The following is a 27336-nucleotide window of genomic DNA, read 5'->3' as shown; positions in this document are numbered from 1 at the left end:
CTGCAATTTTATGATTTTTTTAAAAAAACTTTTTTCCCATATTTGTTGACTTTCTTTCAGTCTGTCTGCAGTAAATCGTAAAAATATTACATGGAAAGAGCTCATGGGCTTTTCTACAAGGACAATAAAGAAAGGTAATCTGGGAAGGTAGCACCAGGCTTGACAGGAGGGGAGACCCCAAGAGCTGGAGATAGTGTGTTCAAACCAGGTTGCAAAAAAAAAAAAAAGAGCTGGGGAGGATGGTGCTGGGGGAGAGAGGAAAGGAAAGTGGTCTTACTTCTTGGGACTTGGGGCAAGGTAATGAAGACATGGCCTCTTCCCAAGAGGAGGGCCTAGGTACCCTTCAGTTAAAGTTTGTCCTAAAGATGTGTTGCCTCAGAACTTCCCAGGTGGCATCCTGGCCTCTGGGTGGAGGGCAGCTGACTGCCCTATGCTGACCTGGTTCCTTCCTGCAAATCCAGATGAGCCACCGTGAAAAATAAATGAAGCTACCTTCTGCTCACACCAGGCTCATGTTTGGCACAACAGATTTTAAGTAAGGACCTGTGGATTCAGAATGAGGGCTAACGTGAGATTTTAATTTAAAATGGAATAATGGTTCTTTCCAAATCTAAGCTAACAATGTTAAAACTCAGCAGCAATGTATTGCCACTTTAGAATGAATATAAATCTGACTTTTAAGCATCAAGTTGACATTATGTTAAGCAACATTAAAATATTTAAAAGAGTCTGCATCGGGAAACTCTGAACATCATTACTCCCTCCTGTTTCACAAAGTTTTTAAAGATTTGGGCTCTTTTTTTTCAGTGTGATCATAGGGGACATTGCTCTGGTTTATATGTTCAGGCTGCTCATTCTAATTCCCTGACACTAGCAGAACAAAGTAGACTTTTCTCAAATGAATCACTCCTTACAGAAAGAAATCACATGCTTTCCTTGGGAAATTTGCAACCTCACACTCAGTCCCAGAGGGACAAAGGATAATGATTTCATGTTGTCTGGCTACTTACTCCCTAGTGGTTCTGAAACATGGGTTTTCCTTTGAAAGGAAAGATGCCTCGTCCTTTTTAAAAGATATCACAAGGCTCTCTGTGGCACAGTTCAGCCCTGGCGTCCACCACAAAGACATTTGTGTGTCCTTCTGGGGCTTTGAGCCAGGCATACAGTCTGCCCAAACTTTCTGCCCATCTGCCACATGGAGGGCAAGGTGCTTCTGCCAGGCCACAGCAATAGGAACGCTGCTCAGGAACAAAGACAGCCCTTGCTCCTGTCCCGAGCTGTGAGTGAGCTGCCTAGGCACGAGCCTCAGGCCACCCCATGCCTGAGCCTGGGCGTTTATATACAGCAGTGTGAGGTTTGAAAAGCCAGTATAGCCACCTTAGTTTAACAGATGGAAGGATAGTGTATGGTCTGACAAGTGTGTGACATGGGGGCTGAGGGGGAATGTCTCCTTTGCTGGAGTAGCCATGAAAGTGGTGGTGAGTTTTATGGGCTCAGCAGAGGAACCTTTGTAACCGTACCTGAGAAAGCGACTTCCTTCTCCCTGACTTCTTTGAATCCCTGCCAGCCTAAAGTTCAGGATCCCCATGGAAGCCCCCAAATCAGGGACGGTTATACCTCTTAGAAGTTATGAAAATTGGCAGCCGGGCGCTGTGGCTCACACCTGTAATCCCAGCACTTTCAGAGGCTGAGGCTGGCGGATATGAGGTCAGGAAGTCGAGACCATCCTGGCTAACATGGTGAAACCTCGTCTCTACTAAAAATACAAAAAATTAGCCGGGCCTGGTGGCGGGCGCCTGTAGTCCCAGCTACTCGGGAGGCTGAGGCTGGAGAATGGCGTGAACCCGGGAGGCGGAGCTTGTAGTGAGCCGAGATCGCGTCACTGCACTCCAGCCTCCGTGACAGAGCAAGACTCCATCTCAAAAAAAAAAAAAAAAAAAAATAGTTAAGAGAATTGGCTTTGGAAAGAGTTTTCACAGTTCCAACCTTAGCTCAGCTATTTACTGCCTGTGTGGCCAAATTGCAAGTTGCTCAACATTTCTTTTAGTTGAACCTCTGACAGATTCCTACCCTAAGATGAGGATTCAGTGCAGTCAATTATTAGGGAGGTGACGGAATGGATTAGGGAAGGTGGACGGAAGGAAGCTAATAAGGGTGCATTTTAAAGCCAGCTACCACAATGGGCAGCTGAAGCTTAAACCTTCAGGAAAACTCTGGGAAACAGAGTAGAATACACAGCTTACAATCATTCCAGCCAAGTGGAGAGGGAGCTGGGATATATATACCCCCACACCTGGCAGACACATGTTAAGGGCTTCCTGAGGGGGCAGTGAAGACCCAGACACTTCTGGCCTGTCATGTTCATGGACAAAGCGCAAAGGCAGCTCTCACAGAGACGCAGGGGATGGCCATTGGGAGCCGGCCTGGGGTGCACCAAAATGGTAAAGGGATGTGGGCAGAACAATGGCAGCATCTGCTATACTCTCGAAGCTTCATGTACTGTTTTGAAAAGTAAGGTCATCATAGTTTTTATCTCATAGGAAGGATGATATATATATATATATATATAAAGGCCTGCTAAGTCCTCAGCATAAGGAGCAGCTTGTAGCAGCACTTGTTAAATACTGGTTATTATTACTGGAACCACTCAGCAGTTTTTGCCCTAGGATTTTGTTTGCAGTTTTGCCATTTCTTTTATTTTCTTGGGAGTTCCTGACTTTTTGCCTACAGCACAAACATATAGGTCCAAAGAAAGAGGCTTGTGGCTTGTTTTCATTTGTCCAGAGGACGTTGAAGATATCACTGTCACCTTTTAAGTTGAGATGCAGCAAGTCAAAGATGCAGGGTAGCAACTGGCAAGATATGTCTTCTGCCTTGGCACACTTCTACCCGCCCAGTAGTTGAGTTGTGAGAGGGTGCTGCTTAGGGCCCAGGGGGACCAGCCCCTCATTTGTACACTGGGAAATCAAAGAGTAGAAAAAGCTGTCTTTGCTTGCAAACAAGAGAGCGCACCAGTAGTTGTGTCTCAAATAACCTGCAAAGAGGTTTGGCCAGGGGAGGGATGGAGGTGACTTTACATTTGCCGTAGGGATTCGCAGTTTCTTCACAGTAGAGTTTACAAAGACTTGGCTTAAATGTCATGTGAGTGTGCACACACACGTGTGTATTATACTGTATACAGATTCTCCTTGACTTATCATGGAGTTACATTCTGACAAATCCATTGCAAATTAAAAATGTAAGCCAAAAATGCAAGTCAAAATGCGTTTAATACACCTAACTTACTGAACATCATAGCTTAGCCTACCCTGCTTTAAATGTGCTCAGAACACTTACATTAGCCTACTGTTAGGCAAAATCATCTCACACAAAGCCTATTTTATGTTATTATTTACTTATTTATTTATTTTTAGAAACAGAGTCTTGCTCTGTCACCCAGGCTGGAGTGAAGTGGTATAATCATAGTTCACTGCAGCCTCAAATTTCTGTGCTCAAGCGATCCTTCTGCTTTAGCCTCTCGAAGTAGCTAGAACTACAGACGTGTGCTACCATGCCTGGCTAATTTTTGTAGAGATAGGGTCTCCCTATGTTGCCCAGCCTGGTCTTGAACTCCTCAGCTCAAGCAATCCTACCTCTTCAGCCCGCACAAAATGCTGGGATTACAGGCATAAGCCACCATGCCTGGCCAAAACCTATTTTATAGTAGTGTTGAATATTTCATGGAATTTTTTTTTTTTAATTTTGAGATGGAGTCTTGCTCTGTCTCCTAGGCTGAAGTGTAGTGGTGTGATCTTGGCTCACTGCAACCTCCGCCTCCCGGGTTCAAGCGATTCTCCTACTTTACTTAGCCTCTCGAGTAGCTGGGATTACAGACACATGCCACCACACCCAGCTAATTTTTGTATTTTTAGTAGAGACGGGGTTTCACCATATTGGCCAAGCTGGTCTCAAACTCCTGACTTCAGGTGATCCCCCCGCCTTGGCATCCCAAAGTGTTGGGATTACAGGCATAAGCCGCCGCACCCAGCCCCCATGTAATTTATTGCATAGTGTATTGAAAGTGAAAAACAGAATGGTTGTATGGGTATTTGAAGTTTCTACTGAATGCTTATTGTTTTCACACCATCCTGAAGTCAAAAAATCCAGTAAGTGGACCGTGCCTGGTGGCTCACACCTATAATCTCAGCACTTGGGGAGGCTGAGGCAGAAGGAATACTTGAGCCCAGGAGTTTGAGACTGGTCTGGGCAACATAGTGAGATCCTGTCTCTACAAAAAATAAAAATAGGTAAGCATGGTGATATGTGTCTGCAGTCCCAGCTACACAGGATGCTGAGGTTGGAGGATTGCTTGAGCCCAGGCAGTCAAGGCTACAGTGAACCATGATCATGTCATTGTATTCCAGCCTGGGGGACAGAGTGAGACCCTGTCTCAAAAAAAAAAAAAAAAGTGGAATCATTATAAGTCAGGGACCATCTGCATATATTTTATCATATGAAAGGGAACTGGAACTCAACATGCCTTAAAATTTTGTATATAGAGTTATTTATATATAATTGTTTCTGGATGGGATTTATGAGTAATTTTTTTCTTTTAATGTGCTACAGTCTACATTTTCTATGATAAACATGCATTACTTAAGCAAAACAAAATGATGACTTTTTTTCTGGAGACAGACAAGATCTCGCTGTGTCACCCAAACTGGAATACAGTGGAACAATCATGGAACAATCATAGCTCACTGCAGCCCCAAACACCTAGCCTCCAGCAATCCCCTCACCTCAGCCTCCTGAGTAGCTGGGATTATAGGCACGAGCCACCATGCCTAGCTCAATAATTACTATTTTTAAAAAAACAACATCACAACTAACAGATCTAGAAATGTAACCAGGCCGTAGGAGTGCCAAAGGCTTATTTTTTTTAATGAAGTATTAAAATTTTTTATTTTATCTAAAAAAAAAAAAAAAATGTAACCAGGCCTGAGAAAGCAGGTTGAGAGCAAAGAAGAAGCATTTTTTTTTTTTTTTCAGTTTAAAAAGCAATGACGGCTGGGCTTGGTGGCTCACACTTGTAATCCCAGCACTTTGGGAGGCTGAGGTGGGTGGATCACAAGGTCAGGGGTTTGAGACCAGCCTGGCCAACACAGTGAAACCCTGTCTCTACTAAAACTATGAAAATTAGCTGTCCATGGGGGTGGGTGCCTGTAATCCCAGCTACTCAGGAGGCTGAGGCAGGAGAATCGCTTGAAACCGGAAGGTGGAGATTGCAGTGAGCTGAGATCGTACCACTGCACTCCAGCCTGGGCAACAAGAGCGAAACTCCATCTCAAAAAAAAAAAGCAATGACTTGGCTGGTCGCAGCTGCTCACACCTGTAATCTCAGCACTTTGGGAGGCCGAGGCAGGTGGATCACTTGAGGCCAGGAGTTCAAGAACAGACTGGCCAACCTGGTGAAACCCCGTCTCTACTAAAAATACAAAAAATTAGCCGGGTGTGGTGGCGTGTGCCTGTAGTACCAGCTACTCCGGAGGCTGAGGCAGGAGAATCGCTTGAACCCGGGAGGCAGGGGTTGCAGTGAACCAAGATTGCGCCACTGCACTCCAGCCTGGACGACAGAGCAAGACTCCATCTCAAAAAAAAAAAGCAATGGCTTAAAATACCCACTGACCACCCTCCTCTGGGCTGCCTGCTCTTGTGTCTTCATCAGGTATGTGGTGGTGAGGATGCAGTTCTCTTCTAGATAAGGCACTGAAACGATGATGGTGCAGTGCATTTATTAGAAACTGCTGCAAAATTGTTAGAAACTGAGGCTATAATCTTTTCAAATATCTGAGATTTTACACATATATATGTTATTCTTTAATTCTACATTGTATTTTTACCATTTTCCCAGCACTCAAAATTAATAAAGCAACACAGTATGATAAATACTTAGGAGTTGCACAAGAAATGTATTTTTGTCAGTATGCTTCCCCCCCTCCTTTTGACAATTCACACTGGGGACAATAAAGATTAATCACACAAGGGAAAGTGAATAAGTGAAAACAAGTCCATTGGCAGTCACATAACAGCAGCTTAACTGTGCCTCCAGGTTGGGTACTTATTTATCATTACTCTCTCAGTATCCCTTTTAATTCAAGTTTTATTCCAACAATTCAAGAATCAGTCTATTAAAAATATTAAACTATAAAAAAAGCAATTATTATGCCAAAGGCACAAAATATTGAAATAGGTTTTACAACAAAAGTCTGTGCATGAGCCTATGTGTTATTATTTCAGCTCTTTGCTCAATCCAGTGGAATATTCTACACTCATTAGCTCTAGTGTTTATGAGAGTTTAACAACTGCTTGGTTTTCACGGCCAACATGATTATGCTCTGTCTTTGGTTCTCATACAGCTCTCTTTTGCATTCAGCTTACAGAATTTATTTATTTATTTGAGAAGGAGTCTCACTCTGTCACCCAGGCTGGAGTGCAGTGGCGCAATCTTGGCTCACTGCAACCTCTGCCTCCCAGGTTTGAGCAACTCCCCTGTCTCAGCCTCCCGAGTAGCTGGGATTACAGCCACCCACCACCACAGCCGGCTAATTTTTGTATTTTTGGCAGAGACGGGGTTTTGTCATGTTGACCAGGCTGATCTTGAGCTCCTGACCTCAGGTGATCCTCCCGCCTCGGCCTTCCAAAGTGCCAGGATTAGAGGTGTGAGTCCCCTCGCCTGGCCAGAATTGACTTTAAAACATAGCTAATATAAAGAACAGACTTGATACTCCAGAGTTTGGGGGCTTTAGAACCTGGCTCCCTGACAGAGCAATGAGTTCTTTGAAGGCAAGGACTATTCTATGCACTATAGCTTTATGTCCACCCTGGACTAGGTAGAGATTGAATGAATGGCTGAGTGATAAAAATAGCAGCTGGCACCAAAAAAAATGATTTTATGAATTAGTTTTGTTAGACCTTAGAAATAGCATACACTATTTTTTTTCTAATTTTTATTTATTTATTTTTTTTGAGACGGAGTCTCACTCTGTCGCCCAGGCTGGAGTGCGGTGGCGCAATCTCGGCTCACTGCAAGCTCCGCCTCCCAAGCTTACGCCATTCTCCTGCCTCAGCCTCCCGAGTAGCTGGGACTACAGGCGCCCGCCACCACGATCGGCTAATTTTTTTTGGTATTTTTAGTAGAGACGGGGTTTCTCCTTTTTAGCCAGCATACACTATTGTTAAGTACAAAGAGGAAAAAAAGTTTTGCAGTGGAGAAACCTGGCAGACACCACCTAATCCAAGTGATTAAAGTGGACATAATCATTAATGGGACAGATTGATGTGACGCATGAAGAAGGACAGTGTCAATTCCGGGGTATTCCTACAAAAGATGCATAACCTGACTCTACTCATGAGGAAACAGTAGACAGACCCAAAAGAAGAGACAGTTTGCAAAGCAACAGGCCTGTACCCTTCAAAAATGGCAATGTCAGGAAAGAACAAAAAATAAATCAATAAAAAACATTTAAACACTGAGAGGTGCTTCCAGATTAAAGAAGAGGCTTGGCACCTAAATGTATTTTATGATCTTGGATTCTAAATTGGCCAGAAAATTGCTTTAAATAACATCATTGAGAAACTGGCAAAATTTGAATGTGGACTGTAGCTTAAATCATAGTATTGCATGAATGTTCAACTTTCTGAATTTGATCATTTTCCCAGAACCATATGAGATAATGTATTTGTTTTTAGGGTATACATGCTGAAATATTTGGTTGGTATAAATGGTTCAACAAACATAGACTACCACAAGTCTAAGTGCAGTTTTACTTTTTGAGACAGAGTCTCGCTCTGTCACCCAAGCTAGAGTGCAGTGATATTGGCTCACTGCAACCTCCACCTCCCGGGTTCAAGCGATTCTCCTGTCTCAGCCTCCCCAGTAGCTGGGATTACAGGTGCCTGCCACCACGCCCTGCTAATTTTTGTATTTTTAGTAGAGACAGTTTTCACTATGTTGACCAGGCTGGTCTTGAACTCCTGACCTTGTGATTCGCCCGCTTCAGCCTCCCAAAATGCGGGGATTACAGGCATGAGCCACTGTACCCGGCCCTACGTGCAGTTTTAAGAAATTGAGGTGAAATTCACATAAGATAAAATTAATTATTTTATTTTATTTTTTAGAGACAAAGTCTTGCTCTGCCACCCAGGCTAGAGTACAGTGGCATGATCATGGTTTACTGGGACCCTTGTATGTAAAAAGGGGATAATATCTATGTCATACAATAGTTTTGATGGTTGAAAGAGAATATGAATGTGAACTTCAAACTCCTGGGCTCAAGTGATCCTTCTATCTCAGTCTCCTAAGTAACTGGGACTACAGGTGCGTGCCACCACACCTGGCTAATTTTTAAATTTTTATTTTATATAGAGAGGGAGTATTGCTGTGTTGCCTAGGCTGAACTCAAACTCCTGGCCCCAAGCAATCCTCCCACCTTAGCCTCCCAAAGTATTGGGTTATAGGCTTGAGCCACCATGCCTGGTCAGATTCACCATTTTAAAGTGTACAATTCAGTGACCTTTAATACATTCATGGCTGGGCGTGGTGGCTCACGCCTGTAATCCCAGCACTTTGGGAGGCTGAGACGGGCAGATCCCGAGGTCAGGAGATCAAGAGCATCCTGGCTAACAGGGTGAAACCCTGTCTCTACTAAAAATACAAAAACCTAGGCGTGGTGGCAGGCACCTATAGTCCCAGCTACACAGGAGGCTGAGGCAGGAGAATGGCATGAACCCAGGAGGCAGAGCTTGCAATGAGCCAAGATCGCGCCACTGCACGATCTGTGTGACAGAGTGAGAATGCGTCTCAAAAAAAACACAAAAAACAAAAAACATTCACAATGTGGTGCAACTACCACCTCTACGAACTCCAGAAGGAAACCTCAGACCTATTAAACAGTCATGTCCCATTTCCCCTTCCCATGAGTCCCTAGCAACCGCCAAGCTATCTTCTATCTCTATGGATGTACCTATTCTGGGTATTTCATATAAATGGAATCATGCAATATGGGGCCTTTTGTGTCTGGCTTTTTTTACTTAACATGTTTTTGAGTTCCATCCTCACTGTAGCATGCATCAATACTTCATTCCTTTTTATAGTTGAATAATATTTCATTGTACAAATGTACCTATTTTGTTTTTTCATTCATCCGTTGATGGGCACTTGGGTTGTTTCTGCTTTTTGGCTATTATGAACAGTGCTACTATGAACATTCACATACAAGAATTTGTTTGAGCACCTGTTTTTAATTCTTTTGGTATATAGCTAGGAGTGAAATTGCTGTATCATATGGTGAATGTATATTTAACTTTTAAAGAAACTACCAAATTGTTTTCTAAAGTGGCTGCATCATTTTATGGTTTGTACTGTTCTTACAACTCTCCTCAAAGTCTAAAATTATTTCAAAGTAAAAAAAAAAAAAATTAGTATGTGCATACTCAGGCAGAAGGACACCTAAGTGCACAAAAGTAGGGAAGTGATGAGTGAGCTTCATCCAACAGGCCAGACCTGCGTGTGAACTCAGATGGTTAGAATGACTGGCATAGGCAGCTTAATGGAAGTTTCCAGAGTGAAAATTTTTGTAAAGGATGACACAGTTTAAAAGTGCTATTAAAGCACTTCCATAATAAGAAACCCAGCCCTGGGCAGGTGGAGAGAACCCATGTGCCCAGCCTTTCTCTTCCCCTTTGGGGGCATCATTAGCAGCTCTATGGGTGCACAATCCATTTGTTGACTACATGCATGAGTGAGCATGGTCTCCCTTTTATAAATGGGCATCCATGGGAAACTGCAATTTTCCTTACAGAAGTCTGCCTGATTGCTAGTTTTGATGGTTAAAAGAGGATACGAGTGTGAAAGTTCTGCAAAGTCATAAAGCACTGATAGACAATGAATGAGGATTATAACTAAGGCCTCTACATTCGGTTCACACCATTGTTAGTTCCTCTTCCTCCTGAGAATGTGGTCCCCCAACCAGCCACTTGGTACTCCCTGGGAACTTGTGAGAAATGCAGACTCTCAGGCCAGCCTAGAAGTCTGAACCAGAATCTGCATTTCAACAAGATCCCCAGGTGATTGGCAGGCCTATTAAAATTTGGGTAATGCTGCTTTAATGCAGAGATACCTAAACTTTTCTAACTATAACAACCATCTGGGACTACTTATTAAATAATTCCAGTTCTCTTGCTTCCCTTAGTGGAGATTAATTCAATGACTCTATGGTGAGGCCCTGGAATGTGAATTCTCCAGATGAGTCTCCTGATCAGAAAAGTTTGTTAAGCAATACTTCAAATGCGTAGCTTTAAAGGAAAAGGGGATCCTGGTGTGGTGGCACATGCCTGTAATCCCAGTGACTTGGGACGCTGAGGCAGGAGGATCCCTTGAACTCAGGAGTTCGAGGCTGCAGTGAGCTATGATTGCACCACTGCACTCCAGTCTGGGCAACAGATGAAGAAAATCTCTTAAAAAATAAATAAAGTAAAATAAAGACAAATGGGGAGGCCGGGCAAGATGGCTCACGCCTGTAATCCCAGCACTTTGGGAGGCCAAGGCAGGCAGATCACCTGAGGTCAGGAGTTTGAGACCAGCCGGGCCACCATGGTGAAACCCCATCTCTACTAAAAAAAAAAAAGTACAAAAATTAGCTGGGCCTGGTGGCGCGTGCCTGTAATCCCAGCTACTCGAGAGGCTGAGACAGAAGAATCACTTGAACTGAGGAGGCAGAGGTTGCAGTGAGCCGAGATAGCGCCATTGTACTCCAGCCTGGGCAACAGAGCAAGACTCCATCTCGGAAAAAAAAAAAGAAAGAAAAAGAAAGGAAGACAAAGGACAAAGGGGGAAATCTACCTCCTGGAGAGACGAGAGACTATAAGATATCGTTTTGCATGACTGGATGTTAGTTCAAGGATCTCTGAGATGCACTGTTTCTGGAGGACTGCCAGGCTCAGGATCAGGCTTTCTCTCATCTCAGACAAAGCTTTGGCCTGTGGGATGCCTACAATTTCAGCACTTTGAGGGGCCAAGGCAGGAGAATAGCTTCAGCCCAGGAGTTCGAGACCAGCCTGGGCAACATGATGAGATCCCCTCTCTACTTAAAAAAAAAAAAAAAAAAAAATTAGCCAGGAGTGGTGCTGCACACCTGTAGTCCCAGCTACTTGGGAGGCTGAGGTAGGAGGATTGCTTGAGCCTGGAGATAGAGGCTGCAGTGAGCAGTGATTGTGCTACTGCGCTCTAGCCTGAGCAACAGAGTGAGACTGTCTCAAAAAGAAGAAGAAAAAGGGCCAGGCGCAGTGGCTCACACCTGTAATCCCAGCACTTTGGGAGGCCGAGGCGGGCAGATCACGAGGTCAGGAGATTGAGACCATCCTGGCTAACACGGTAAAACCCCGTCTCTACTAAAAAGTACAAAAAATTAGCCTGGCATGGTGGCGGGCACCTGTAGTCCCAGCTACTTGGGAGGCTGAGGCAGGAGAATGGCGTGAACCCGGGAGGTGGAGCTTGCAGTGAGCCAAGATTGCGCCACTGAACACTAGCCTGGGTGACACAGCAAGACTCTGTTTCAAAAAATAGAAGAAAGAAGAAGAAAAAGAAAGCTAAAGCTTTACTGATTCTCTGCTTTATGCCAAACGCAGTGTTCATCTTTCATCTGCCTTCTTTCCTGTGTCTCTCCATGTTTTCTCCTTTTCTGTCTCTCTGAGAACACTTGCGATTGGATTTAGGGCCCACCCAGATAATCCAAGATGATCTCATTTCAAGAGCCTTAACTTAATTACATTTGTAAAAATGCTTTTTCCAAATAAGGTCACATTGACAGGTTTCAGGGGTTAAGATGTGGACATGTCTTTTTGGGGCCATAATTCAGCTCACTCCATGAGGCATGGAGCGCTCCTTATTTCCTCTGCCCCGGGAGAAAGGCGATTTGTGCTAAAAAGATAGGTAGACAGAAGGGAGAACTGGAGAACAGGCCTGCTCTATCATTCTTCCTCTAGCTGTTCTTGCTTCCCAGGATTTCTCTTTACTCCCAACTTCATGACCCTCAGCTTTGGACCCCACTGTTATGGGGACGTCTTTCCAGGTTTCACAATTCAAATTCCCAAGTATTCAAAGGTTGCTGGCCTGCCTGAGAAAGTGCTGGTATTAGGTTAGGCGTCTCTCCCTGATCTGATATGTTGGTGTCTTGGAAAGGTGGGAAGGGTGGGTAGCGCCACAAGATTCAAAACCTGTCCTCCAAGCCCTGTTCGTTCAGTGTCTCTAGCGAGCTGGTGGAGCAACAGCCTCCCTTAGAAGGAGCATATTTGAGCAGACCTCTCTTGCACAGGCCCTTGGAGGAGAATGCAATGGAATCCTGGGTTTCACATTGTACCCGAGCCTGTGTTCCATTTATCAAAGTGCCAAACTCCCTGTAAGGTAGTCACACTTTTAAGGGGACATACAGCATGAATCCTGGGGTCATGTTCTAAGGAGGCTCTGGCAATGATTTAATCATAGTAGCAGTCCTATTCGTTGAGCACCACTTTCATTTTCTCGTTTAATTTTTTTTTTTCTAGATGGAGTCTTGCTCTTTCGCCTAGGCTGGAGTGCGGTGGGATGATCTCAGCTCACTGCAACCTCTACCTCCTGAGTTCAAATGTTTCTCCTGCCTCGGCCTCCCGAGTAGCTGGGATTACAGGCTGGCACCACCATGCCTGGCTAATTGTCTTGCTTTTTTTTTTTTTAAGTAGAGATGGGGTTTTGCCACGTTGGTTAGGCTGGTCTGGAACTCCTGACCTCAGGTGATCGCCCGCCTTGGCCTCCCGAAGTGCTGGGATTACTGGCGTAAGCCACTGCGCCTGGCCTTCTCCTTTAATCCTTATAACAATGCTGCAAAGGAGTCCATTCCATGGAGGAGGAAGTCGGGGCTAATAGAGGCTAAATTACTTGCCCAAGGTCACCTGGCTCCTAAGTACAGCACCAATGAGCCCAGTCTTCTCCACTGCAATTGCTCTGTAATGGCTGTTCCCATTCATGCTACACATTAATCACTCCCTATGGAAATCATGTCAGAATTAATTGAAAGCCAAGGGCACTGGGAGAAAAGGGAGGCCTGGATTTTGTGGAGCCCTGATTTGGAATGATAATACACATAAGTACAGGGAAATGGATGTGTGGAGTAAGTGCTGGGGAAACTTACCCATTCCAGCAGAAGCATTTAGCATCTTACATTCTTTTGCACAATCTTTTCTTCTCTATGGTATCACTGAGGATTTGTTGCCTATAAAAATGTGAGGGAAATTAATTAAAAGTATTTATTTTGCCCCAATTAGAGATGAACTATGGGGGGCTCTAGCAGAGAATAGCAAAGACCCCTGTGGAACTATGAGATCCCTGTAAATATTCTGAGATGCAACTACATAGCTTCAGACCCTGGAATGGGAGGGAAACCCCTGCATAGGGAGCAGTAAATTACCAACTTCTCCAGTAAATGAGAAAGTGACTCTGCTGGCCACTGGGAGCGGGGCTGCAGAAGCCCTATGAGGTTTTCTGGAGGAATCCTGCTTCCGTTCCTTCCCATTTCCCAGGTTTGGCTCAACACCGTGATCCATGGTTACTGCGACCCTCAGGAAATTGCTGCTGTGGGAGCCTCCTCTTTTCCCAATCTACCATGCATACTCTTATTAGTCTTCAGACAATAATAATAATAATAATAATAATAATTATTATTATTATTATTATTATTTTGATGGAGTCTCGCTCTGTCGCCCAGGCTGGAGTGCAGTGCGCGATCTCGGCTCACTGCAAGCTCCGCCTCCCGGGTTCATGCCAATCTCCTGCCTCAGCCTCCCCAGTAGCTGGGACTACAGGCGCCTGCCACCATGCCCGGCTAATTTTTGTGTTTTTAGTAGAGACGGGGTTTCACCGTGTTAGCCAGGATGGTCTCCATCTCCTGACCTCGTGATCCGCCCGCCTCGGTCCCCCAAAGTGCTGGGATTACAGGCGTGAGCCACCGCGCCCGGCCTCAAAAATTAATTTTGAAAATAATGATATAATCTTTAAAAGAATTGTATTTCCAGTGGGCAGCACTCGCTTGATACAGAGCAGCAGGGCCATGTAACCTGGCTTCTAAATCATCACCTCTTTGGGTCCGCACGTATTTTTTATTTTTTATTTTTCATGCTTCAAATGCACCTTTGCAGAAGGAGATGAACTGGGGGACATGTTAGCGCCTCCACGGGCCTGCTGAGCTCTGTTGGCTGCGTGTGCTAAAAATAACTGGAGAGGTTAAAAAAATGTTGAAGCAGATTTAGGGGCTCTTCTGGAAAATGAAACACAGAAGCTGGGCCCTGGGTGGTTCTATTTAAAGCCGATCATCATCTCATCCATTCCTGTGGATTTACATGCGAAGACTCTACTCCCCAGCGGCTGGCTGAGGGAAGGAGGGTCTGATCTGCGTTAGGACTCACCTCCTCCCACGACCCTCTGCAAAGCAGCAGCTGTCCAGAGAAAAAGGAGTGCGCTGGGTCTGGCAAGCAGCTCAGTTCTTTCCTTCCACAATTGTCCCTTTGAATTGAGGAAAGCGAAAATAAAGTTTTCAAGGCCAATTTCACAATTTCATCTTCTGTGAAAAGCAAAATCAACGAGGCTATGAAAAATTACAAGCAGTTAAAACACTTTCATGTCGTCTTTCCCAGAGAGAGAGAGAGAGAGAAAGAGAGGAAATCAGACTGCTTTGTTCAAAGCAACGGCCAACTCAAGCCCTTTTTTTTCTTTCTTTCTTTTCCTTTTTTTTTTTTTAAACACATCTGGTCTCAATCTTTATACACCAGTGGACAAAAGCAATTAGACAGCTCTGTTTTCCACGTCATAATAATGGAAGTCATATATTTTCCATGGCTGTCTCATTTGGTTACCCAGCTCTGCAGAAATGGACTAAATGGAATTTAAAATGTGGGTCTTTTCTTGACAGTGTTGTTAGTGACCTGAGGGATAAGTGCTCCAGCATCTTCTAGAACCACCAGAAGTGAAAGAATAGATATTGCAAGTGTAGGCAAATAAACCTCAACGTAATTTACATGCCTGTGGGACAGGCCCTTCACAATCCTGTCTTTCCAACAAGCCCGGGGGGACAGGGATGCCTTTTTAGGATGGGTTCAGATTTGGAACGATCTCTTGACAAATCTGCTAGAGGATGCTAGAGGAGCTTTCATTTAAGGTGAAACTTCCGCTTTCTCATTGTATTGGTGAGAATTCTCTTGGTTGCCAGGGAGAGTCAACCTAACCCAGCCTGAGTAAAACAGAGAATTGGTTCGTATAACTAACCATAAGAAGACGAATCTGGTCAGACTCAACTGATTCCGAGGCTTCTTGCAATGCTATCTTCTTTTCTGCTCCCTCCACCTCTCCCGAGATTAGCAACTCCAAGAAAAGGATTGGCTTGGTATCAACAGTTCCAGCAATAATTCTGTAGTTATTCTCACTAAGTCAGGTGCCCATCCTTAAAATGGCTACAGGCTTGGGTCAGTGGTCCATTCCTGAAGATGAGAGTGGGGTCTGCTCCATCAAACCACAGGACTGAGATTGGGTAGGGCCTGACTCCACGAAAGAAAATTGTGTTTCAGCTTCAAAAGAAGAAGGGATGGATGCAAGATGCCATAGCTAGCCTATGTGGGACCCTTGTGAGTTGGAAACAGGCACCCCCTCCAGGCTGATGCAGACCTATGCCCCCACTTCTTGGGGAGCAGATGGCACCTTTGACCTGCCTTCCTCTGGGCAGAAGAAAACCCACACCTAGGACAGATAGTTGAGTGAGCAGAACTAAAGGTGGATATTGACTCAATTGACTCCTTGGCAGGACAACATTGTGCTGTGTGACAGACACCTGAACACTGTAAGTGGTGGCACTGGTGGGCAGGAAAACCAACATATGTCCTCCACATCCACCCCCAACCATTCTAAAATAGATGCCTTACCCCAAGTTTTCTTGCCTGACGTGCTTAAACTGTGGCTTATTCATTAGAACGTGCACATCAGCCATTTTACAACTAAATGTTTGCTCAAACTTGGGTGTGTGATGTTAACCCATAGAGGGAGCACTGGGATGGAAAAGTCCAGACCTGGGGCCCAGGAGGCCTGGGATTGATTGCAGCTCTGTGTTTACTATGAGGGCATACTTGCTGTAGTCCTGAGGCTTTTTTAGATATCAGCTTCCTCATTTGTAGGATAAGGGGACCCTTCCCAAAATCCTTCCTTCCTACTCAAGGTCCAGATTAGAAGGAGGCCTGTGGTTTGGGGGTCTTTCTTTTCTCCCAGTTTCCCACTGTTTGTGCCAACAAGTATAATTCTACCTCCAGCCCCCTTCCCCCAGCTGGTCTCCTCAGAAGAAGTTGGTGAAGTTGGTGGTTTTACCGCATTTAGTCGGTTTTACCGCATTTAGTTGGTGGTTTTACCGCATTCACAACAAGAAGTTGTGAAGTTGCTGGTTTTACCGCATTTAGTCACATTTGATCACCTCCAGCTCCCCCTTCAGCAGGTTGTAATTTCCCTCCCAAAAGACATTGGTGATACACAAACCCCCTTTTGCCTGTTAGGCAAATTAGCACCCACTCACCAACCTGGGCCCCTGCAGAAGCTGGCTGGGGACAAACACAATGCATTTGAAAGACCTGAAAATGCAAAGCTCAGCAGTGGCTGACTTCTGTCCCGTGAGGGTCAGGCCCTCTCAGCCTGAGCAGAGGGAGGGCCATTAAACAGGGGCATCTGCAGCAGAGGAAGGGACCCTGCCCTGTAAACCCAACGTTTCCTGCTGCAGGGGGCCCCTGCCAGTGCTGAGAATAGACTTACAGGGAAGAAGTATTCTTCATCATCTTATATGCGGGCACTTAACAGCCTCTTTGCATTTGCCAACCACAAATTCTAGCGCCAAGCACAGAACCCCACACATATCCTATCTCCTCTGTTAGTCTATCAGAACCAAATTTCCTTTTAGGTCATTGTGCCTGGCCCCCGCCACTTTGGCCTGCAATAGTGAGGGCAGAGTGACTAGGTTCATCTCTGCCAGAGCTGCTGGGGGAGGGCTTGGGGACCATGTAAAATGTTCTTTGGGGTGAGTTAGTCTGCTTCTATCTTACCACTCACAGTCAAATTGGTCTTCCAAGGCCTAGAGACTCTGAGTGGGGTTAATCAATGCCTATGGGTGCCACTGGGTGCCACTAGTGGAATATTTTGGGGTCCAAACAACCAGTCATACACATAAAAAAGACCTGTTAATAATTTCTGCTTTATCATTCAGTGTCTTTGGGAGTTCAGAGCATACACAGGGAAATATAATAATGCTGATGCCTATATTTATAGAATACCATTCTGTCCTCATAGCGCTTTTATAGCGTGGATAGTTTAGTAGTTAAATGCTTGAAGTAAATCTTGACTCCTCCAAAGACTAAGAAAACTTCAGTACATTACTTAACATCCTGGAGCCTCTGTTTGCTTCTCTGTAAAATGCAAGATAATAACAGCCTTTACCTTTACAAGTCTGGGGAGAGTTAATTGCAGTGGTCTATGTTAAGCTCTCAACACATGGTCAGACATAGAATGATGGTTCAATACATGTTAGTGACTACTTTTTTTTTTTTTTTTTTTTTTTTGAGACAAAGTTTTGCTCTTGTTGCCCAGGCTGGAGTGCAGTGGCGCAATCTCAGCTCTCCAAAACCTCCACCTCCTGGGTTCAAGCGATTCTCCTGCCTCAGCCTCCCTAGTATCTGGGATTACAGGCGCCCACCACCATGCCCAGCTAATTTTTGTATTTTTAATAAGGACAGGGTTTTGCTATGTTGGCCAGGCTGGTCTTGAACTCCTGACCTCAGGTGATCTGCCCACCTCGGCCTCCCAAAGTGCTGGGATTATAGGCGTGAGCCACCACACCCAGCCATGACTACTATTATTATCCATGAACTCATTTGACTATAAGAATGACTTGTTGTGAAGTTGGTTGGACTGGGATATTTTCCTCTTCTGATAAGTGAGGAAAGTGAGATCAGAAAGTAAAAAGCAAGCATGGGGCCAGAGGAAGCGAAGGAGAGAGAGAGGGGCTCATAGGATTGGGAGATGGCTAACACGAGCAAGGAGCATCTAAGGGGACAGGCCCACCCTCTTGCCACAGCAGCTTTAAGTTTCCTACTGTATGCAAGGGAGGGGTCCTGACCTGCAGAATACTGACACCAAGATAAAGTCATTTAAATTAAACCTACTTACTGAAGGGACTGAAACTTTACAGTAAATAGAGGGGAAAAAAATAGATTAGCATTTTATTTTGAAAAAAAGGACACCTTGGCCAGGTGCGGTGGCTCACAACTGTAATCCCAGCACTTTGGGAGGCCGAGGTGGGTGGATCACCTGAGGTCAGGAGTTCAAGATCAGCCTAGCCAACATGGTGAAACCCCGTCTCAACCAAAAATACAAAAAAATTAGCCGGGCGTGGTGACGGGCACCTGTAATCCCAGCTACTAGGAAGTCTGAGGCAGGAGAATCGCTTGAACCCTGGAGGCAGAGGTTGCTGTGAGCCGAGATGGCGCCACTGCACTCCAGCCTGGGTGACAGAATGAGACTCTGTCTCAAAATAAATAAATAAATTAATTAATTTAAAAAAAGAGGACACAAAAAATTTTGAAAATAACTTCACCTTCTAACAAAGTTTAGATCATGGTTTAGGCTATGTGCTAATTATTAGAACAAAGAATCTAAACTTTTTTTTCTGACAAAATTGAATGGTATCCTTCACTTCATTTTTGACTTTTATTTCACATTCATAAAGAAGGTCATTTTTTTTCCCCACAAAGGTATTTGACAGCCTTATCAATTTTTAAAGGAGTTTTCTGAACCCTTGTCATTTACATTGTCTTCTCCCCCTGGTCTATTTTCTCCTGGGTAGCTGTTATCTGGTCTCAAGGCTTTGAGCAGTCCTGCTATGTTACTTTCATGAACTCCATGAAACCCTGAGACTTTGCAAGATTTGCAAGTTCGTTTTGTGAACCAATCTGCATTGAATTTGAATGATAATTTTGGAGGTGCTACAAACCACAGAGGTGTCAATGAGATGGGTGAGAACGGCTGTGGAATAGGAAGAGACTTTATTTGTGTATAGGCTGTGTCATATTCCCTTAGCAAATAGTTTCATATTATAATAATTTTTGCTTCATAAGCAAGTCATAACTGTAGGCACTTGGGTAACAAATACTCAGATAACAACCATCCCTTGTACAGGAATGCAGCACATTTTTTTTTTAATAAACACAGATTTCTGTGGACAGAAATGTGGTTAAAAGTCTTTTCCATCAGTGGGATGGCTGAGATATCAGACAGAGCAAACAAGTAACGATAGTAACAGATTATATATAACACAATGAATAAAATAAGAAACCATAGGCCGGGCGCAGTGGCTCAAGCCTGTAATCCCAGACTTTGGGAGGCCGAGGCGGGAGGATCACGTGAGATCAGGAGTTTGAGACCAGCCTGGCCAACATGGTGAAACCCCATCTCCACTAAAAATACAAAAATTAGCCGGGTGTGGTGCTGCGCACCTGTAGTCCCAGCTACTCTGGAGGCTGAGGCAGGAGAATTGCTTGAACCCAGGAGGCAGAAGTTACAGTGAGCTGAGATGGTGCCACTGCACTCCAGCCTGGGCAACAGAGCAAGACTCTGTCTCAAGAAAAAAAAAAGAGAAAAGAAAAGAAAAAAAAAGAAACCACTAGCTCATTCTGATATAAATAAAAATTCAATTAAATGTTTGATGGGGAATGAAATATTTACATAGTTTCAAGGATTTCCACAAAATACTTATGAAAGGGAAAAGAGTCACTTTGTAGCAATGAGTCTGACAGACACCACTTTATCAAGGGGTCTAAGTGAGCATCCCCCAGAATAGGATGAATGGAAACTGTACCCCACACAATAAGAAGAATCCAGCTTCACTTCTGCAATATTCCTGTCTAAATCTAAACAAGAGAAAACCAAAATTGAGGGCATTCTACATGTTTGGCCTATAGTCTTTAAAAATGTCAGAAGACACGCTGGGTGCAGTGGCTCACGCCTGTAATCCCAGCACTTTGGGAGGCCGAGGAGGGTAGTTAACTTGAGGCCAGGAGTTTGAGGCCAGCCTGGCCAACAGGGCGAAACCCCATCTCTACTAAAAATACAAAAAAATTAGCCAGGCCTGGTGGCGGGTGCCTGTAATCCCAGCTACTTGGGAGTCTGAGGCAGGAGAATGGCTTGAACCCGGAGGCGGAGGTTGCAGTGAGCCAAGATCACACCATTGCACTCCAGCCTGGGTGACAGAGCAAGATTCTGTCTAAAAAAAAAATTACTGTAATCCCAGCACTTTGGGTGGCCGGCTGAGGCAGGTGGATCACGAGGTCAGGAGTTCAAGACCAGCCTGGCCAAGATGGTGAAACCCCATCTCTACTAAAAATACAAAAAGTTAGCTGGGTGCAGTGGCAGGTGCCTGTAGTCCCAGCTACTCAGGAGGCTAAGGAAGGAGAATTGCTTGAACCAAGAGGGTGGAGGTTGCAGTGAGCCAAGATCGTGCCACTGCACTCCAGCCTGGGCGACAGAGTGAAACTCTGTCTCAGAAAAAAAAAATTACAAAAATTAGCTGGGTGTGGTGGCACACGCCTGTAAGTCCAGCTACTTGGGAAGCTGAGGTGGCAGAATCGCTTGAACTCCTGGAAGTGGGAGATTGCAGTGAGCTGAGATCGTGCCACTGCACTCCAGCCTGGGCGACAGAGTGAGACTCTGTCTCAAAAAAAAAAAAAAAAAAAGTCAAGGACATAAAAATTAAAGAAAGAATAAGGAGCTGTTCCAGACTGAAGGAGCCCAAAAAGCCATGGCAGCTGGGTGCAACACGGGATTTTGAACTGAATCCACTTGCTATAAAAATGACATTGTGGGGATTGCTGGCAAAACTTGAAAGGGGCCCAAGGATTTGTAGTAATGTATCAGTGTTAATTTCCTAACTTTAAAAATGGTTGTATTGTGTATGTAGAAGGATGTCCTTGTTTGTAGGAAATGTATACTAGAATTTTCAGGGCATCAGGTCAGGTCTGCAACTTACTCTCAAATGGTTTGGGAACAAAAACAATGTTTGTACTGTACTTGCAACTTTCCTGTAAGTTTCAGTTTTTTTTTTTTTTTTTTAAGAGCAAAGAAGGAGGTCATTTTCACTGAGCAGTTGGCAGATTCACCCAAGGTCCAGAGATGGAGTTGAGAGGCCGTGCCAAGGAGTGGTGTGAGCTGATCTGTGTTTGGGAGAATGCCTGTCAGCTGTGTGTAGGGGTGGGTGTAGGAGGGAAGGCAGATGAGGGTCAGGGAGACTGGAGGCAGGTGGGAAGGGCTTGAGTTTAGACAATGACAACATGTAAAGCAGAAGACAGATTTGAGACCAGTTGAGGAGGGAGACTCCTTCAGATATGGAGAAAGAGAGGAGGAAAAGATAATGAAGGCTTCGAGCTTCATAGAGAGGATGACAGGGGTCAGGAATGAGATGGGGCCTGTGGCAGTGAGCTTGGGAGGGGCAGGTGGCAGGTGCTGTTTGGGGCGTGCTGAATATAAGAAAAGTCTGGCTGTGACATTGGGCTCCTCTCTCATCTCTAGGGTATCAGCCAATGTGGTTCATCTTCCCAGATGTAGAATTTGAGATCTTGTTGTGACATTTTTGCTTTGACATCAGGAAGCAATGAATTATGATTTTGAACCAGGAAGAAAGATCACAGCAAGCAACATGGATTTGGGATTTTTTTGCTTGGAAGCCAAGAAAACAACTGAGATTAGAAAAGGAGGAAAGAAAGCCTTTGGAGAAGGCTAAGGGGAAAGAGCCTGTGAAAGAGGCAGAGGAGGTGTCGTTAGGAAGGGAGGAGGAAAACCAGTCCGAGTATTTGAGTCCAAGTATTTAGTAATGTAGGCATGGACCCCAAATTTTCTTCTGCTGAGACATTTTTCTTCTGCAGTAAAAATTTTTTTCTACTGAGAAAAAAATCCACCATGTCATGAGGGTTTCCCACTTACTTTCTGACATTCTAGCTTCTGTTGTTTTTTCCTACATATAAACTAATGTCTATGGTTAAATGTAGGTTCCCTCCCCATAACACACCCACAATCTGCATAATTCCTTATAGTTCAGTTTCAACAGAAGACTTGGTCAAGCAATTGCCAGAGAGGAGGCACAGTGTAGCTCCTGGGTTCAAATCCCAGCTCTACCATTCACCAGCCACATCACCCTGTGCAAGTTACTTAACCTGCCTGTGCCTTAGTTTCCACATCTGTAAACCTGGGATTAAAAATGTTCCTACTTCTGGAACTGTTATGAGGGTTAAAGGTGCTAATATTCCATAACTACTTGGAATCATGGCTGGCACCATGTAAGTGTATGTGTTATTAAGTTAGTGGAAACCTAAATGAGCTACTAACTCTACATAGTCCAGTTACAGATACCTATTTGCCAGTGGTACTGAGTGCTTTACAAGTTATTCTTTTGCAAGCAGGACTCCTGTAGGCCTCAAACTTTTGATGCTCAGAGGCCAGTTTAGCCATTCATTTTTTGATAGATTGGAGCCCAAGAGGTTGATCTCAGGAAACCAAAATTGCTCCACAAATATGACCATGGAAATGGTCCCCAAGTGGTGGCTCTAGGAGTAAGGAAACCTGAGTTTCTTCCAGGACTGTCGTATTGGACTTTCTTATCTCCGCTGTATTGGCCCCAGTAATCTAGTAGAGCTGTGCATCTCAGGCTGTAATGGGCATACACACAATTCGAAGATTTTGTTAAAATGCAGATTCTAGCTGGGTGCCGTGGCTCATGCCTGTAATCCCAGAACTTTGGAAGGCTGAGGTGGCATATTGCTTGAGGTCAGGGGCTTGAAACCAGCCTGGGCCACATGGTAAAGACCCTCTACAAAAAATACAAAAAAATTAGCCAGTTATGGTAGCTCGCACCTGTGCTCCCAGCTACTGGGTTGAGGGGAGTGGGGGACCAGGGGGCTGAGGTGGGAGAATTGCTTGAGCCCGGAAGGTCAAGCCTGCTGTGAGCCAAGATGGTGCCACTCCATTCCAGCTTGAGTGACAGAATGAGACCCTGTCTCAGGAGAAAAAAAAAAAAAAAAAAAAAGCAGATTCTGCTACAATATGAATGAACCTTGAGGACATTATCATCTGAAATAAGCCAGTCACAAAAGGACAAACACTGTATGATTCTGCTTATATGAGGTACCTAGAATAGTCAAATTCATAGAGACAGAAAGTAGAATAGTGGTTGCCAGGGGCTGAAGGGAAAGGAGAACGAGAGTAATTGTTTAATGGGTATGGGATTTCAGTTTCACAAGATGGAAACAGTTTTTTTTTTTTTTTGAGACAAGGTCTTACTCTGTCGCCCAGGCTGGAGTGGCAGCGGCAGATCTCAGTTCACTGCAGCCTCCACCTCCCAGGCTCAAGCAATTCTCCTGCGTCAGCCTCCTGAGTAATTGGGACTACAGGCATGTGCCACCACATCTGGCTAATTTTTGTATTTTTAGCAGAGACGGGGTTTCACCATGTTGACCAGTCTGATCTCGAACTCCTGGCCTCAGGTGATCTACCCGCCTCAGCCTCCCAAAGTGCTGGGATTAGAGGCATGAACCACCATGCCCTGCCATGATGGAAAAAGTTTTATGGATGGGTGGTGATGACGGTTGCACAACAATGTGAAAATACTTAATGTCACCGTACACTTAAAAATAGTTAAGGTGGTAAATTTTATGTTTTATTTTACCACAATTTAATTAATTATTTATTTATTTTCATTCAAGCAGTTACTATAGCTTTAATGCAAAGCAGGTGCTGGGCTTGTTTAAAAAGAACTAAAGGCACCTACCTCAGCTTTCTAGCCTCTTGCACCTCAAGGTGTGGTCCTTGGCACAAAATGAGGGTCAATGAGCCTCACCTGGGAGTTCAGTAGAAATGCAGAATCTCAGGCCTCATCTCTGAATTATTGAATCAGAATCTACAGTAAAAAAATAAATAAATAAATAGGCTGGGTGCAGTGGCTCACGCTTGTAATCCCACCACTTTGGGAGGCTGAGGCCGGCAGATCACAAGGTCCGGAGATCGAGACCATCCTGGCTAACACGGTGAAACCCTGTCTCTACTAAAAATACAAAAAAATTAGCCAGGCGTGGTGGTGGGCGCCTGTGGTCCCAGCTACTCGGGAGGCTAAGGCAGGAGAATGGTGTGAACCTGGGAGGCGGAGCCTGCAGTCAGCCGAGATCGTGCCACTGCACTCCAGCCTGGGCGACAGAGTGAGACTCCATCTCAAAAATAATAATAATAATAATAATAATAATAAAAATATTAAAGTGGCTTTGCTTTAATTTGAGTGTGGGTGACACAAGCCAGTTTTGACTTGGACCAGTCACAACAGGAAAATGGAAAAAATTAAGTTTTACTAGGGAGAGAGATTCGGTGTTCAGATTTACATTCAGAGTTAACACATTTATTTTTCAAAACACTGTGGAGGAGTACAGAAGTACAAAACATGCTTTCTGTCTTTGAGAAGTATATGTTTTTATGACAATTCGATTAATAAACCACACTTGAGGAGTAAGATATATTAATTTATTTTTAAAAATTAAAGTTCTAGACCCCCATTCTCGGGGTTGGTGAGAAGTTTAAATCAGTCAATTTGAGAAGCTTTAAACACACACACACAAACACACACACACACACACACAGTGTGCCCAGTCAGGGCCACCAGATGTATGGCACTCAGGTTGTATACTGCACAACTGCAGGAGAAGTTATGCCAAAGACTATGATACAAACGGCCCCTTCTGGAATCATTGTATTGCAGTGTAATGCCCTTCACCGCACTCTGCTTAAGCTGTACAAGAGCTGTGGTGGCTCATGCCTATAATCCCAGCACTTTTGGAAGCTGAGGTGGGCAGATAACCTGAGGTCAGGAGTTTGAGACCAGCCTGGCCAACACGGTGAAACCCTCTCTCTGCTAAAAGTACAAAAATTAGCCAGGAGTGGTGGTGGGCACCTGTAGTCCCAGCTACTCAGGAGGCTGAGGCCAGAGAGTTGCTTGAACCCAGGAAGCAAAGGTTGCAGTGAGCTGAGACTGCGCCACTGCACTCCAGCCTGGGCAACAAGAGCGTGACTTGGTCTCAAAAAAAAAAAAAAAAAAAAAGAACTGTGGAGCTTATGCCAGGCAGGGAATGGAGGTAGGCCTGGTCTTTGGTTGGTGTGGTCCCTGATGCTGTTACTCCTGGCCCACTCTCCTTTGAAGATCGGTATGTCTGTGGTCAGTTCTGGGCGTGGCTCCAGTCCCTCTGGGTCCAGCTCAGCTGTGGAGGATTTCCCTGACATTCTCAAGGTGACAGCACTCACAGCCTAGTCCTTGCAGGCACCCAGCCAACCATCTCTATCCCTGGTCCTGCCCCCTAGGGAGGGTAGTTTAGAGCAGGCTCACGTTCTCAAGACCTATAGGGCAGCCATGCTCTCTTTCACTCTTAAAGCTCATGGCCACCATCTCCTTTCTGTTAAATGTCTCAGATTAACCATCTGATGCGTCTAAGCAGGGGTTGAAAACTCCGACACATATAAGAACCGGCAGGTACACAAACAAATGTTGCAGGTGGTGTTAGACTTTAGCGGGTGGTGGGGACTGTGGTGAATGGAAAGCACATAGCCTGCCTAAAGGCACCAGCTGGACTTGGATCCTTCCCATTTTTGCCATGTGAAAATAGGGGCCCAGAAATGGGAAACCTTTGAGTTTTTCCAGAGAACCCAGAGATTTAGATTTTCATGGGAAATCTCTCACTTTTAGAAAATTGCAACTAATATTTTAAATTTATATAAAATAATTCGCAGGCCAAATCAAAGATGTCCTGAGCCACACCAACTTTCCGTCTCAGAAAGCAAAGGGGGAATCCATCCTACCAGGCAGCTTTCCTTTTTCCCCCAGAAAAACACACACACACACAGACACAGACACACACACACACACACACACACACAAAGGCTGTTAACTCTCCTTGGGGCTAAGGGAAGTCAGACTTCCAGGACACAAAGGCCCGGCTACCTTCTCTCAGGGGAGGGAGATGGGAGGGGGTGGGGGAAATACTTTTCATTCTTTCTGGAGGAGCCAAGGAGAAACAACTCCTTTCTCAGCCAGAGCGGTTAATGGAGTACATTACAGTCTTGATAATTTGGATAGCTATTAGCTGGGGAGTCAGACATAAATAACAACGTGCAATAATTACATGGTAGCATTCAGACAGGCCCAGAGCACAGGCCTGCCAGAGGAGGGGTATGGAGCGTGTAAGACCCTGAGGTGGGAATGCTGGCTGTGGTAAGAGGCAGGGGCACAGCGGATGCAGCTGCACGAGAGTCTGGGGGCCAGATTGAGCACAGGGGGCCTGAAGGTTAGGCCAAGACATCTTTGGTCTTTACCCTTGCGGAATGAACAGCTAGCCAAGGCTTTCTATAAGGGGCGTGGCACGACCAAGGCTGCCGTTTTGAGAGTCATTTTGCAGATCAATTCTTGTGTGAGGGTGGATCAGGAGGGAAAAGAAGGGGACTGATGTGGGAAGACCGGTTCGGAGGCTGTGGAAACTGTCCAGGTATGAGCTAAGGGCTGATTCGGGTGTGGGTAGGGAGAGAGGAAGGGGCAGTCATGGGCACTGTTACAAAAGAAGAATTGGCAGGAAGCGAGGCACCAGGGAGGGGAAGCAATCAAGATAGCAATCTGGGCAGCTGAGCTCTACCTTCCTATCCCAGATCTTTTGGAGAGTGCAGGGGAGAAAGTGTTGGTTTCAAAGGAACAGGTATATAAATTGCTATGTCCACCATCACCAAAGCATAGAGAAGGGACTCTCCCCCTTCCAAACCAGCACATCTTTTATCAGCTCTGAGATCCAGTTACTCACTTTTTTGTTTGTTTGTTTTTGAGACGCGGTTGCACTCTGTCTCCCAGGCTGAAGTGCTGTGGGGTGATCATGGCTCACTGCAACCTCGACTTCCAAGCCTCAAGAGTTCCTCCCACCTCAACCTCCCCAAGTAGCTGGGACCACAGGCACATGCACCACTACACCCGGCTTATTTATTATTATTATTATGGTTAGTTAGAGATGAAGTCTCGCTACTTGGCCCAGGCTGGTCTCGAACTCCTGGGCTCAAGCAGTCCTCCTGCCTGGACCTCCGAAAGTGCTGGGTTAATAGACGTGAGCCACCATTCTCAGCCCATCATTTACATTTTAATCTCTCTGACATCAGGGTACATCTCTAACAACCCATGGCATGTCAGAATT

General features: G+C 45.0%; 6 annotated features.

Moving 5' to 3' along the window:
* Window positions 14405-14454: a silencer, noted in NCBI's record as "silent region_14139". NCBI's record gives its function as "represses an Ori minimal core promoter by ATAC-STARR-seq in GM12878 lymphoblastoid cells {active_cell/tissue: GM12878}" and the evidence as "EXISTENCE:reporter gene assay evidence [ECO:0000049][PMID:35858748]".
* Window positions 16054-16690: an enhancer, noted in NCBI's record as "NANOG-H3K27ac-H3K4me1 hESC enhancer chr3:23802521-23803157 (GRCh37/hg19 assembly coordinates)". NCBI's record gives its function as "activates a minimal SCP1, AML or CMV promoter by ChIP-STARR-seq in naive and primed H9 embryonic stem cells {active_cell/tissue: H9 hESC(naive and primed)}" and the evidence as "EXISTENCE:reporter gene assay evidence [ECO:0000049][PMID:30033119]".
* Window positions 16200-16319: an enhancer, noted in NCBI's record as "active region_19599". NCBI's record gives its function as "activates an Ori minimal core promoter by ATAC-STARR-seq in GM12878 lymphoblastoid cells {active_cell/tissue: GM12878}" and the evidence as "EXISTENCE:reporter gene assay evidence [ECO:0000049][PMID:35858748]".
* Window positions 16420-16469: an enhancer, noted in NCBI's record as "active region_19598". NCBI's record gives its function as "activates an Ori minimal core promoter by ATAC-STARR-seq in GM12878 lymphoblastoid cells {active_cell/tissue: GM12878}" and the evidence as "EXISTENCE:reporter gene assay evidence [ECO:0000049][PMID:35858748]".
* Window positions 16691-17327: an enhancer, noted in NCBI's record as "NANOG-H3K27ac-H3K4me1 hESC enhancer chr3:23801884-23802520 (GRCh37/hg19 assembly coordinates)". NCBI's record gives its function as "activates a minimal SCP1, AML or CMV promoter by ChIP-STARR-seq in naive and primed H9 embryonic stem cells {active_cell/tissue: H9 hESC(naive and primed)}" and the evidence as "EXISTENCE:reporter gene assay evidence [ECO:0000049][PMID:30033119]".
* Window positions 17840-18009: an enhancer, noted in NCBI's record as "experimental_68903 CRE fragment used in MPRA reporter constructs". NCBI's record gives its function as "activates a minimal promoter by MPRAs in K562 erythroleukemia cells, with activity observed for both the introgressed and non-introgressed 3:23801287 variant alleles {active_cell/tissue: K562}" and the evidence as "EXISTENCE:reporter gene assay evidence [ECO:0000049][PMID:34662402]".

Source organism: Homo sapiens, chromosome 3, assembly GCF_000001405.40.
Source record: "Homo sapiens chromosome 3, GRCh38.p14 Primary Assembly".
Taxonomy (NCBI): Eukaryota; Metazoa; Chordata; class Mammalia; order Primates; family Hominidae; genus Homo; species Homo sapiens.
This window is presented reverse-complemented; position numbering and strand designations above follow the sequence as displayed.